Raw genomic sequence first — 13,750 nt, forward strand, 5'->3', positions numbered from 1 at the left:
ATAGTCAAACCCTATCTCTACTAAAAATACAAAAATTAGCTGGGCATGGTGGTGGGTGCCTGTAGTCCCAGCTACTAAGTAGATCACTTGAACCCAGGAGGTGGAGGTTGCAGTGAGTCAAGATCACGCCGCTGCACTCCAGCCTAGGCAACAGAGTGAGACTCCATCTCCAAAAAAAAAAAAAAGAGAGAGAGAGAGAAAAATTTATCCTCGTCCAGGCACAGTGGCTCACGCCTGTAATCCCAGCACTTCGGGAGGCAGGGGCAGGAGAATCCCTTCAGCCCAGAAGTTCGAGACCAGCCTGGGCAACATGGTGAGAACCCATCTCTACCAATTTAAAAAAAGAAAAAAAAAAAACAAGAAAAGAAAGAAATAGAAAAATTAGCGGGGGTGGTAGCACACACCTGTAGTCCTAGCTACTCAGGAGGCTAAGGTGGGAAGATCGCTTGAGCCCAGGAGGCGGAGGCTGCAGTAAGCCGAGATCGTGCCTCTACACCCCAGCAACACCCCAGCTTCGGTGACAGAGCCAGACCCTATCTCAAAAAAAAAAAAAAAAAGAATGAAAGAAATAACGAATTTATCCTCTGGAATGTCAAACTCTGTGACTGCCCTAAATAAATCAGTTAGTCCATCAAATTATAATGTGCTTTTAGTAATACATCGTCAGCCCTCTGCATCTAAGGATTTAACCAACCATGGGTCAAAAATATTTTTAAAAATTGTGTCTGTACGGAACATATGCAGACTTTTTTTCTTGTCATTATTCCCTAAACAATACAGTATAACAACTACATATATAGCATTTACATTTTATTAGGTATTATACATAACCTAGCGATTATTTAAAGTATGGAGGAAGCTGGGCAAAGTGACATGCACCTGTAGTTTCACCCAAGTTGGAAGCTGCAGTGGGAAGATTGCTTGAGCCCAGGAGTTTGAGGCTGTTGTGCCCTGATTGTGCCTGCATAGCTACTGCATTGCAGCCTAGCAACATAGTGAGACACCATCTCTTAAAAACAAGTATACATGGGAATGTGCAAGTGTTTTATGCAAATACTATACCATTTTATATTAGGGACATGAGCACCCAAGGATTTTGGTATCCATGAGAGGGTTGGCTGGGGAGTATCCTGGAACCAGTCTCCCATGGATACCAGGGGATGATTGTATTCACTAATGTTCTAGCTTTTTTGTCATTCCCCCCAACCCCTTATCATTATATTTCCTTCTTAGGTTCCTGGTTGACTTTCTAGAAATGCCACTTCCATTGTCCCTGCCGCTAACTTCATACATTACCTTAAAATTTTCCTATTTAAATTAGTTTGTGTTTTAAAATAAAGTGCTTTGCCTTGATACCAGTCTGTGCCTTTAAAGTGCCACTAACATAATGACAGATGCCTTTTAGAAATCATGCAAACTATTGTATGGCCATTGGCATCACTCTGTTAGTGTTAAAGAAGCTGTATTTTCTTTGGATTAGCCCTACCCAGTTTTGTTTTTCTTCTGTTAATGCTCAACAGAAAACTGAAGATGGTCACAACTTTCCGACCTTGTGCACATTGCTTCTCTGGTCTATTGCCATAGGATACCGTAGCAGTATCTTACAGACATCTTTGATGGCCAATCAGAAGCAGTTAAATTACCTTAAATTTTTTAAATGGAACTCTGACAGCCAATAAGAAATCCCGTGGGTGGGAACACTAACAACCCTTTGGCTTGTTTTTAAGAACAATTCTAAATTTTCAATATTCTGTTTTAGAAGCACATGATGCCCTAGTGCAGCTGCTATGTGCATTTGCCAGACATTTCCACGCCTTAGAGTTCCCCATAGTTTGAAGTCTGAATCTGACCCCTGTTCTGCTTCTCAAGGTAACTTTAAAACAGGAAGTGTACAAAAGAGGTAACTGATGACGTGAACAGCCAATCGTGGCTTTGTGTTCTTAGCCGATAAAGCAGTTCAGCCAATGGGACCACTGTGGAGGCAAGGTTTGGTGTCAAATAGCATGCTAGATTGAATGCCTTTGACTGTTAAAGTGGAAGGAGGCTGCAGGGCTTCATTGGAGCCTCGGAGTTTTTCACTGAGGCAGGGGTCAGCTGAAAGACAAAGAAAAATGGCGAATAGTTTGTTGGGGGGTGGGAGGACAGCTGTTCGGGTTTTCAGTGGAGTGGACATTCCAGACTCATGTTTCTGCATCTCCTGCTGCCTTTTGTTTCCTCCGTCCTTTGGGGGGTAGGGATAGGAGTGACTTAAATTCTCCCAGTCGGTGGAGGTATAAATAACTACATGTAAAATTAATGCAGTTCCCGGTAAGTTTAATTCTTTGTTTTGTGTTGAAATGATAGAAACTGTTTAGCTTCAGAGAGTGTAGACAAGTTGCACTGTTCAGAAAATGGCCACTTTACATTCCATGCATACCTTTTGGTGCACCTAGAATACCTTGCTGTGTTTAGATTTTGCATGTCCTTCAACTAGGATTTCTTTCCTAGTTGGGTATCGACAAGATCAGGTACATGGAGAAAGGCTAATCATTTTTCAGGGGCACACAGAAGCAAAACACTTTTCTCTTTGCATTGGGTAAACTTAACTGTTTTCCAAATAATTTTCCTTTGTTCAAGTGCCCTGAAGCTTTCCTACGGAATAAGCTGGGTTGTTGTGAGAGTTTTTCTATTTCCATGCACTTTGTTGACATCTGTGTTTTCAGATATGGAAGCAACACTGTTGCTGTTAGAAATTTGTGTGAAAATACGATTTGCACTGCTGCAGGTTCTAATGGTGAAGGCCCACATGCCAGTGTGAAATTTTCCCATAACTTTCTTGATTTACCAGTCTACCTCTAGATTCTAATAAGTAGTAGTTAATGTAGTAACAATCTTTGTTTTTAATGCACATTTTAGCTTAGAATGCTGGTTAGAAATATCTTCACTTATATTGACAGTGATGAGCAAATATTTTTCCACAGATTTCACACATTTTGTCAGGTGTTGATTTAGTTCTTTAAAATGATGTGAGCAAAGTGCTTTCCATTTTTCCGTATTAAATATTTAAAATCCTGCAGTTTGTGAATAGGAAAGTTAAGAGTATAGGCACCCTATCTTTTGCCCTTGATATGTATATATTTTTCTCTTTATGGATATAAAGCTAATGTAGGTTGCTAATCAGTAACCAGCCAGTTCTCATGAACAGTGAAATCTTCAATCCCACATACTAAGATCTATAATACACCTGATTTTAAAATGCAATTCTTTGTTTTCTTTTTATTTGCAAATATGGAATGAAGGTCATTGGAACATTTCTGCAGCAGACTCAGTGTGGAGCCGTCAGCCAGCAGCACTTAGTCTCTGGGTACGGAAAAGGAGCAGGCCCTATTAGAGGAGAAGTTTCGAGGGTGTCGATTTGCCTTCCCTAGCTTCCCCTCTAATAAAGGATTTACCTTAGAGGACTGATAGGATTTAGATTCGGGGCTCTTGGAGTTGTAATGATATAGCAAGTCAAAGTTCCTGGATGCAGGCCTCTGTCGTTGCTTGCAAAAGTGACCTTGAAAAACTGCTGGGGAGTTGAAAGATTGAAGGACAAAGTTTGTTTATACAGATTTGGACTGAAAAGCTCTATTTAAGATGAAAAGAGACTGTACTTCTGATATTCAAGTCGAGTGGTTAGTAGGAATATGTTATAGATTCAGATTAGGAATTTTCAGGGAATAAGACAATAGGGCTGCATTCATTCTCTCTCCCACTCTTTTTACTTCCCTCCCCCCAGCAAAAAATTCTAAATTCTTTTGGTATGATAGCTGAGTGAACTGCCTAACAGATTCAGAATTCCTTGCATGCTACCTTGTCTTCTTTGTAATCTAGAGGGTTCTTAGTGAAGGGGATAGATAGTATTTTAGGAGTTCAGAGTAGTTGTATTTGTGAAAGTTTTGGGGAATTAGAATGCTTATAATAAGAAAATGTTCATTCTGGGAATTTAAGTCCTAAGATGAAGAAGTATGTGTTAAGGATTACATTTTAAGAGGTAGTTATTTTGATTTAAATTTATTTGTTTGTCATTGATTATTTATATGTTATCAGTTGTTCCAGATTATATATATGATTTTAAAAACAGTTGTAGGTGCTGACTTGACCCTGTTGGCCCTAGGAGAAGGCCTGCAGCAGGGGAGGCAAAAGTGAAGGTGTGGTACAGTATGAAGTAAACTATAAACTTGAGAACTTTGTGGATTTGGCTTCTTGGAAAGATGCCCAGTCACTGCCTCTAGCCGAGGTTCTTCACCATTCTCTTTGAGAATGACCCACTACCTGGAAAAATGCACATGGGCATGCCTGTACAAAACCTTTGATGACTAAGTTATTTTTTAGTGTATGTCAAATGGTATTTAACACTTCAGCCAGATAAATGTTTACTAGACAAATGAAGAAAACTTTGCTTCCAGAAAGAGCAAAGACCTTCTAGAGAGCTAACTCTAATTTAGGCCATGGGTGGCTGTGTGTGTAAGTGGGGGAGGCTTAGATGGGGTCTAGAGATATGGACATTTATTTACTCTGATCACAGTATTTGAGGCAGCATGGTACAGACCATTTAAAGTCAAGAGATCTGTGTTCAAGCCCCACTCACCTTTATCACCAGCTTTGTAGGTTTGGGCAAGTCAGCTATTTAGTGTTAGCTTCCTCACATGTAAAAATGGAACCTAAAAATAGTGTCTGATTTAGTGGCGAGTCTTGAATGAGATCATGTGTGTCAAAGTACTTTGCAAATTGTGAAGAGCTACATAATATTAGTTGTTACTAATCCAGACTATTTGGGGGATGAAACGTTTATGAAGATAGGTGTGGCATCAAAGAAAAAAATGCCAGTATTTTAATATTTGTAAAAAGGAGTTAGTTTAAACCTGACACATTTCTTTTTAAACTGCCTTCACCTGCATATTCCTATTTATGCTGACATGACCCTATTTATTTAATGCATATGTTGAGACCACCAGTCCTTTACTCATCAAGATCCTTGTGAAAGAATTTTAACCCCTTTGTCAAAATTTAAGGACCTCTCAGAATAGGATGAAATGGGTATGCTGATTTTTAAAAAACTCTTGTTAGATTTAGGAACCTCTCAGAATAAAATCTGGAAGCCTGTTCCATTTGCATTATGAGATTTGCATTACAATGCAGGTAAGTTGTAATGGTTGCAGATGTTTACCAAGCAGAGGTTACATATTTAGTTTGTATACCAAATATTTATAAAGTAAACTGGAACCATTTTTTTTTTTGTTTGCTTTGTGATTATCCTGTCAATTTTCAAGCATGGGAGGTAATTATAGCCTGCTGTATAGTAAGCAAGTAAATGTTGGGATTAATGCCTTTTTTTTTTTTTTTTTTTTTTTTGCAGACGAGGTCTCGCTCTGTTGCCAAGGCTGGTGTGCCAGGCTGGAGTGCCGTGGCATGATCATGACTCACTGCAGCCTCCACCTCCTGGGCTCAAGCAATCCTCCTACTTCAGCCTCCTGAGTAGCTGGGACTACAGGCATGTGCCACCGTGCCCAACTAATTTTTTTTTATTTATTTATTTTTATTTTTATTTTTAAATACAGACGGGGTCTTGATTTGTTGCCCAGGCTGATCTCAAACTCCTGGACTCAAGTGATCCTCCTGCCTTGGCCTCCCAAAGTGCTGGGATTACAAGCACTGGGATTACAGGCATGAGCCATTGTGCCCAATTGTGGGATGAACACTTTAAAAAAAAATAATTGATCTCTCATCAGAAATCTAACATAAATTTCACACAGTTGATACCTACTATGAGATACCTTTCTAACATAATTGGTGGAAACTCATGGGGGTTTCTTTTAATCTAGTCTGCATGCCCAGTGTCATCTATTTTTAGGACTTCCTTTTTTCCCCCCCAGGGGTGGGGTTGATATTTTGTGATGTTTGATTTCCTGTCCTATTAAGTCACTTCCTCTCAGGCATGGTCAGTCAGCATTGGTGTCTGCTTCCTATCTGTGCATTGGAAGAATCATATTCAGACAGAATGAGGTTTGGCAAAATTGATACTGACTTTACCAAATAAAATTCCAGTTCCAGGGATGTGTAGGTTTAAAAACAGCAATCGTGGTCACTTTGGGCTTTTGTTTTTAAAACAAGATGAGGTCTCCCTTTTAAAGAGGCTAAATACTTTTGTAGGAGCTTCAGTAACCCAAAAAATGTATTAAAAGTTGAACATGGCTGTCTTCATGAATGGAATGATTTTTGCCTATCCTTATTACTGATAATATATGCATACAGAGTTTGAATACATCTAAATTAGGCTGATGGGAATCACTTAGGGATCTAGTCTAGTTCCCTTCTTGTAAAGTGGGGAAATTGAGGCCCAGTAAGTTCAGGTGCCCTAATCCAAGTCTTTCAGCTTTTTAGGAACAGGCTTGTACAAGTTTGGAGATTTGACTCCCACTCAATTTGTTGCATGTTTCTTTTATTCCTCTAGGTTGTTTTCACTTTTTATTTTTCATGTTTCTTTTCTTTTTGGGACTTCTGTATAGGCTTGCTGTTTGGGTATAGAAGGAACAGAGAAAATGTGCCATGGAAGAGGTTCAGAAGTCTTTACCTGAAGTGTGTTGGTTAGAAAGTCTGCTGCAGCAGATTTAGTGTCCCTTTGGGATCTGAAGATACCTTGCCTCAGCCAGTTAGTTGCTTATTCAGAAAGCTGAGAACCAGCTAGGAAGCTAATGGTGTTCACCTGTGAGGTATTCCAGAAAGCCAGGTTACTTTTATGCATTATGAGGAATTTAGGGTATACAAACACATCACCTGCAAGCCAGTTAGTGTTTTTTGTTGTTGTTTTTTTGTTATTATATTTCAAGAACAAGCTAATTCCCAAAAAAGTTTGGACCTGGCTCTTAAAGTGAGTCCACAAGCTAACCTGTATTTAATAAACAAAGATTCCAGGGTCATTTTAAGCATTTGACAAGACTAAAATAGGAATCATTGTTTATAGACACCCAAAATAATATCTTAACTGTGCTGACTTTACTGTTTCCCATCAGCAAAGTGGTATTATGTGTGTATGTGCTTGTGTATGTTTGAGTAGTATTTGTTCTTTATATTCTTTGATAGACCATGATATACTTTAACATTTTTAATTTTTCTGAAGGTGATGACCTTCATATATTTAGACAAAAGTTATAGTCCATTGAAAGAATGAGGGCTTGAACGATGTAAGTTATGTAATATTTAAGTCCTAAAGTGTACTGACTGAAGATTATAATAGACATAGCTGGATAGAATATATTTCATGTCTACATTTCCCAGAAGTTTAGTTTTCTTTCCTTTTTTTTGGAGACAAGGTCTTGCTCTGTCACCCAGGCTAGAGTGTAGTGGTGTAATCATAGATCACTGCAACCTTAAACTCCTGGGCTCAAGCAGTCCTCCCACCTCAGCCTCCGAGTAATTGGGACTACAGATGCACGCTACTAGGCCTGGCTAATTAAAAAAAAATTTTGAGGGCAGGGCGTGGTGGCTCACGCCTGTAATCCCAGCACTTTGGGAGGCCGAGGCAGGCAGATCACGAGGTCAGGAGATCAAGACCATCCTGGCTAACATGGTTAAACCTCATCTCTACTAAAAATACAAAAAATTAGCCGGGTGTGGTGGCGGGCGCCTGTAGTCCCAGCTACTCGGCAGGCTGAGGCAGGAGAATGGCATGAATCCGGGAGGCGGAGCTTGCAGTGAGCCGACATGGCGCCACTGCACTCCAGCCTGTGCAACAAATCGAGACTCCATGTCTCAAAACAATAAATAAATAAATAAATAAATAAATAATAATTTGGCTGGGTGTGGTGGATCATGCCTGTAATCCCAGCACTTTGGGAGGCCAAGGTGGGCGGATCACTTGAGGTCAGGAGTTTGAGACCAGCCTGGCCAACATGGTGAAACCCAGCCTTTACTAAAAAAACACCGAAATTAGCCAGGCGTAGTCCCAGCTATACAGGAGGCTGAGGCACAAGAATTGCTTGAACTGGGAGGTTGCAGTGAGCCATGATAGTGCCACTGCACTCCAGCCTGGGCAACAGAGTGAGATTCCGTCTCAAGAAAAAAAAACAAAAAACAAAAACTTTTTTTTTTTTTCCTGTAGAAATGGAGTCTCATTATTTTCCCTGGCTGGTCTCGAACTCCTGGCCTCAAAGGATCTTTCTACCTCAGCCTCCCAAAGCACTGGCATTTACAGGTGTGAGCATCTGTGCCTGGCTAGTTTTCTTTTTAATGTGTTCTGCTACCTCCATATGGGGGCCCACCTCTTTATAACGTGGTCAGATTCTATTTGTATTATCACTCTTATCTTCTTGTCTCTCCCTTAGGGATCCCAAAGCTAGACCCCGCTGTTCAATAATTGACCAAAAGTTTTTCTCTACTTATAGTATTTTTTCTAAATTAGATTACAGTCTAGCACCTGCAGTGAAAATGGGCAATCGAAGGATAAGGAATGAAGGTAAATTCCAGTATAAAGGAAGAACTAAAGAAAAAAAAACATAGTAAATGTTTAACTTTAAAGTGGCATAACATTGTGACCTTGTGTTCCTTAGTTCAAAGAAAGAAGACTAAAATAACTACAGCAAATAGCAGTGCTAATTCACTTGGTTATCCTTTCTTCTTGGAAGTACTACCGTTTTGGTCTGTTTCCATAGTTTCAATTACATAGAAAACTAAAGGGAAGACCTGCTCAATTGAAAATATCCAGATAAAATGAAATTTTCTTCTGTCTACCTAAGCTATATAGTTCTTACTTTCAAGGAAATGCTAAAGTTGGATGCTTTTTACACTTCCTTTCATCAATTCACCACGCATGCATGTCTTTTTTGTGGAGACTTTAAAAATGTATACAAATAAAATTTTACTCTGAGACTGATGATGTTTATCAAGTATTAGAAACTGATATGGAAAGAACAAGCAAAATACACAGAATTCAGAGGAGGGGAGACGTTCGCTTAGGAATGAAGGCAAGCTGTTTAACTGGGTGTAGACTCAGGGAGGTAGGGACAAGGGCATTCCAGACATTGGGAGCAACAAGCAAGATCATGATTCAAAAAGTACATCTTGGGTTAAGGAGAGCAGTAAATGGTCAACTGCTTAGAGCATAAGGAGATGAGTTAAGGACAGGAAGGAGTGGTAAAAGAAAGAAGTATGGAGAAGTAGATTGGGTCAGATGTTGAAGGGCCTTGTTTGCTAGGCTAAGAAATTTGAACAGTCTCTGCTTGACGTTGGTGACCATTGAAAATCTGGGGTAGTAGAGTGATGTGGCATTATGAGAGCTGCACTTTTATATGATTTATTATACATCTTAGGTTCACAACCCTTATAGGATTATTAGGAGGTTTAAAATAGGTAGTAACATAAAGGGCTTAGAATTGTACGTGGCACACAGTAACTCCTAATGAACATTGGCTATCATCATCATCGTTTTTATTACATGGAGGCAATGAGGGTCTGAACAGAGATAGTGGTAGTATGAAGAAAGGTCAGGAGATGGACACTGTTGGACACTGTTACTATAGAATTTAGCAGCTGATTAGAATTGAGGAACAGAGGAGAAAAAGTGCAAAATGATACTGAGATTTCTATCCAGTCTGGGTGACTGGAGGATAGAAACAGAAATTTAGGAAGAGCAAGTTTGGGGGGAAAAGAAGATAGATTTGATTTGGGGCACGTGGAATTTCAGTTCTGGGTAGCTTTCTGGTTGTAGATGTCCAGCCAGGCAGCTTGTACATGAAGGACTGAAGCTTTGGAGAAATATCAAAATTGGTAATGTATATTTGGAATTTAGGATCATAGAGATTATAGCTGAACCTAGGGGACAAACAGGAGAGAATCAAGAAAGAGAATTGACAGAAGACTAGTGCTACATGTCAAACATGGAAGCCCAAAAATGTCTGACTCTAAAGTTGAGAAATCCAGAAATGAGCATGGTAGAGTCCTCTAGGTCAGTGCTCTCTAAGCTTTTTTTGGTTGCACACCCCTGTTTTCTGAGTGTGCATTTCCCATGTAAGAATTAATATTCTTTATTCCAAAAAGTTACTTGCTTGGTTTTTTAGTATTAGTTTACTAAAAATAGAGAATATCTGTAACTCCCCTTAATCCAGGCGTGTACAACAAGGTAAAGGTTTCATTGTTAGCCTACATCTTCCTCGCAGTCCTTGGAGCACCGTATGTAATACATGGTCTTCTGACAAGTTCAACTAAATGAGGGCATCATTATCAGCTCATAGGTTAAATATTTGAAAAGCTAATATTAACACTTTCTGTGTGTGCCTTGATAAGTAAAAGACTAGAAATACTTCCTTAGAATCTGGTGACCTTCACTTGCTTTAAAGATGTACAAATATTTCCTTGAGATTAGTACATATACCATATCTCCATTTGGTACAAAGACTAGGTTTTATTTTTTGAGTTGCTTTGGGCATAATCTTACTGATTTTAGCTTTGTAAAATCTCAAATGGCAGCATCCTGCATGAAGCTGACCAAAAATACATATGTAGGAATTTGGCAGCATTTGCTGAGCAAGTAATTTATAGCCCACATGATCATTGTAGCACCAATGAGCAGCACACACAATTAATTACCAGGAATGAGACTAGCCTCATCTGTAGGATTTAGCAGAATTTTTAATATAAGACACCTATATTTAGTTTCTAGGCTATATATGTTGTAATTATCCTCAATCTAAAATAAAGGCAATAAGAAACTTTTCACTAGAGAAATAGTGGTAAATTTCCAGCCATTTTACCTCATTATTTATAATCTAAACTCCATGATTATTTTCCTCTTGGAAATTCATTGGCCAGATGCCCATGAAGCTCCCCTTGAAGGTGGTTAAGCAATGTAATAGAATGCAGTGTTTATATGAATAGTACTTTATAGTTAGTGAAGTGATTTCATACTCATTCTCTTATTTGGTATCTACCTAATGTAAGTAGGACAGACGATTATCATCCCCCATTTTGAGGGTGAGAAAATAGAAGGCAGAGCCTAGTGACAAAGGCTTTTGCTCTTTATACTGCACTTTCTTACCATATATGAAAAACAGTCTATAGCTGTGTCCATCTTCGGGGACTAATTCTTCCTCCTACCTTCTCTTTTCCATACTTGCTTCTCCCCTGAAAGGCACAGAACTTTCCCAGAGTTCTCATCAACTCTCATATTATAGACTGCTTAACAGGCTAATCGTAAAGGGAACAAACATACAGTCAAATTGAATTACCTTTAAAGTGTTTGTTAAAATAGGTGAACACGGTCACTTTTTGGAACAAAGCATGGTACAAGTAGATAACAATTGAGCACTACCAGTATTTTGGAAATTGTCTTTAATGAATCCTAAATTCACTAAGGTCAGGTAAGTAGTTGAAGGATTTTTTCCAAATAGATATGTGGTTAGAATTGTATTAGGTATTCTATGGTATTCCTTAGCTATGCAGATACATACTTTGTGGTATGTATTGAGGCAGCTCCCACATTTGGGTTCTCATCTTGAAACATAGAGATCGATATTTTTAGATGAATCATGGTGGTTTTTTTTGTTTTGTTTTGTTTTGTTTTGTTTTTGAGACGGAGTCTTGCTCTGTCGCCAGGCTGGAGTGCAGTGGCACGATCTTGGCTCACTGCAACCTCTGCCTCCCAGGTTCAAGCGATTCTCCTGCCTCAGCCTCCCGAGTAGCTGGGACTACAGATGTGCGCCACCACGCCCAGCTAATTTTTGTATTTTTAGTAGAGACGGGGTTTCACCATGTTGGCCAGATGGTCTTGATCTTATGACCTCGTGATCTGCCCGCCTCAGCCTCCCAAAGTGCTGGGATTACAGGCGTGAGCCACGGCGCCTGGCCCATGGTGTTCTTAAATAATCCGTTGCTTTAAATTTCCTAGCTATGATTTATAATCCTTGCTTACCCCTAGTGAGGTGGAACAAAGGAATTCTGATTTCTTGGAGGAATGGCTGGATAATTAAAATAACATTATCACCATGTTCACAATGTAGCGATAGCTATAATTTTGAAACACTGCATAGAATTTAGCCAGGTGATTCCTCCTATAAGTGGGCAGCTATGAAAACATCTCCAATATAGGAGGCTGGGCTAAGGCTCTTCTTCTGAATTATAGAGAAAGGATAGAGTGACTTCCCATCACCAGGCCCCCAGAAAGTGAACTTGATCCTTTCTATCTCCACTTTTGTTTGGTAGCTAGATGGCCTAGTCCCACTCCTTTGATGCAACTGCAGTTTAGCAAGCTTGAAAACCTTAAGCTTTCTTGTTTAAGCTTTCTACTTTGAAATGTTTAAGAATCTGGTATCTTGATTTTTTTGGAGTACTTTTTTCAGGAGAGTGATCAGGAAAACGAAAGGTAAAAAGGCCTGGTGGATTTGTGTTCCAGGCTGAGAAAAGCTATAGGTTCTTAAGTTTTGTGTTTTCTGTTGTTATCAATTCTAAAGTAGAAGGAGAAGATTTAATGAAAGAGCACAGAACTGAGAATCAGAAGACATGAATTTTAATTTCACCTGTGGCATATACTTGTCCTGGTGAATTCTGCCAAGTTCCTCAGTCCACCTGGATAAAGTATCTTTATCTGTCAGATGTGTTGCTTATCTTATGTGTTTATGGTGAGAAACACATAAAATAACATGAAACTACTTTAAGAAGTGTAAAGTATGTACAAATGTAAGGGATTAGCATAACTATCTCAGTCACTTTGCCCTCTTTGAAGAGGTCTTTATGTTCTCAGTTCCTGACAGCTGTATACATGAAGTTAAGAGATTTATGGTTTGGTTGGCTTGGAAGATTTGTCTCATTTCATGTCGTTTTCCTTTCTTTCTTCTCCTCTTTTAAACATTTAAATCAATAAAAGACACTAAACAGAGGGAAGAATTCACAGTGTATCTGAATGAGCAGAATCTAGACAGCAGAATCAATACAGCCAAGCTCATATTGACATTATTATAACGCCCTCTAGGTTTTTAATTGACAATTTTCTGCCTTCCCCTGTCCCACCACCCCCCTGGTTTTTAGATGTATTAAGTCACCAGCACAATCTCCCATTTTTCAGTGGAGCCGATGATTAGATAATTGTCTACATTTTCCAAAGTAGAACAAGTTTTTCTCCAACCCCACTCTTGTGGCTCTTCCATTGGATTACTGCACAAAGGTTACTGCACAACTGAGCACAGATACTTAAGAAGGAATTTTCCCATTTCAAAGAAAAGTACCTAGAATGAGGCCAAGGATACTTGGGGTCTTAAAATAGTTCTTGTCCAGGCATGGTGGCTCACATCTGTAATCCCAGCACTTTGGCAGGCCAAAGTGAGAGGATCACTTGAGCCCAGGAGTTTGAGACCAGCCTGGGCAAGATAGCAAGACCCTGTCTTTACAAAAAATTTTAAAAATTAGCCAGGTATGGTGGCAAGCACCTGTAGTCCCCGCTACTCAGGAGGCTGAGCAGGGGAGGATCACTTGAACCCAGGAGGTTGAGGCTTCAGTGAGCCATGATTACGCCACTGCACTCCAGCGTGGGCAACAGAGCAAGACACTGTTATTTAAAAAAAATTTTTTTTTAAGTTCTTGAGGAACCTGTGTTTGTTCATTCAGTAGATGTGTATTGAATCCCCACTATGTGCAAGGCATATTTGCCTTGAGGGTGTATCAGAAACAAAATGATTATGTTTGTCTTACAAACGGGGGAAAAAATAGGAGCATGAAAAATTTAAGCTTAAAAAATAATATGCCC

General features: G+C 39.4%; 1 protein-coding gene across 14 annotated transcripts in view, besides 3 other annotated features; it reads left to right on the forward strand.

Annotated features, from left to right (window-relative positions):
• The window catches only part of NFYC (nuclear transcription factor Y subunit gamma), a 79,900-nt gene that overhangs the window by 15,606 nt on the left and 50,544 nt on the right, over positions 1-13,750 (forward strand). For 5 of the 14 annotated variants that reach the window (XM_047421353.1, XM_047421376.1, XM_047421347.1 and 2 more), the window contains exon 1: positions 2,057-2,307. The exons of 8 other annotated variants lie outside the window; for them this stretch is intronic. In XM_047421353.1, coding sequence (XP_047277309.1) covers positions 2,296-2,307 — 12 coding nt within the window. In that variant the 5' untranslated portion in view covers positions 2,057-2,295. Of the gene's footprint in view, positions 1-2,056; positions 2,308-5,088; positions 5,161-13,750 lie in introns of those variants that run through there. One more of the 14 variants, NM_001142590.2, reaches the window with a different exon arrangement.
• Positions 1,505-1,554: a silencer, noted in NCBI's record as "silent region_733". NCBI's record gives its function as "represses an Ori minimal core promoter by ATAC-STARR-seq in GM12878 lymphoblastoid cells {active_cell/tissue: GM12878}" and the evidence as "EXISTENCE:reporter gene assay evidence [ECO:0000049][PMID:35858748]".
• Positions 1,597-2,223: an enhancer, noted in NCBI's record as "OCT4-NANOG-H3K27ac hESC enhancer chr1:41174578-41175204 (GRCh37/hg19 assembly coordinates)". NCBI's record gives its function as "activates a minimal SCP1, AML or CMV promoter by ChIP-STARR-seq in naive H9 embryonic stem cells {active_cell/tissue: H9 hESC(naive)}" and the evidence as "EXISTENCE:reporter gene assay evidence [ECO:0000049][PMID:30033119]".
• Positions 7,114-7,753: an enhancer, noted in NCBI's record as "H3K4me1 hESC enhancer chr1:41180095-41180734 (GRCh37/hg19 assembly coordinates)". NCBI's record gives its function as "activates a minimal SCP1, AML or CMV promoter by ChIP-STARR-seq in primed H9 embryonic stem cells {active_cell/tissue: H9 hESC(primed)}" and the evidence as "EXISTENCE:reporter gene assay evidence [ECO:0000049][PMID:30033119]".

This window comes from Homo sapiens, chromosome 1, assembly GCF_000001405.40.
Source record: "Homo sapiens chromosome 1, GRCh38.p14 Primary Assembly".
NCBI classification, from domain to species: Eukaryota; Metazoa; Chordata; class Mammalia; order Primates; family Hominidae; genus Homo; species Homo sapiens.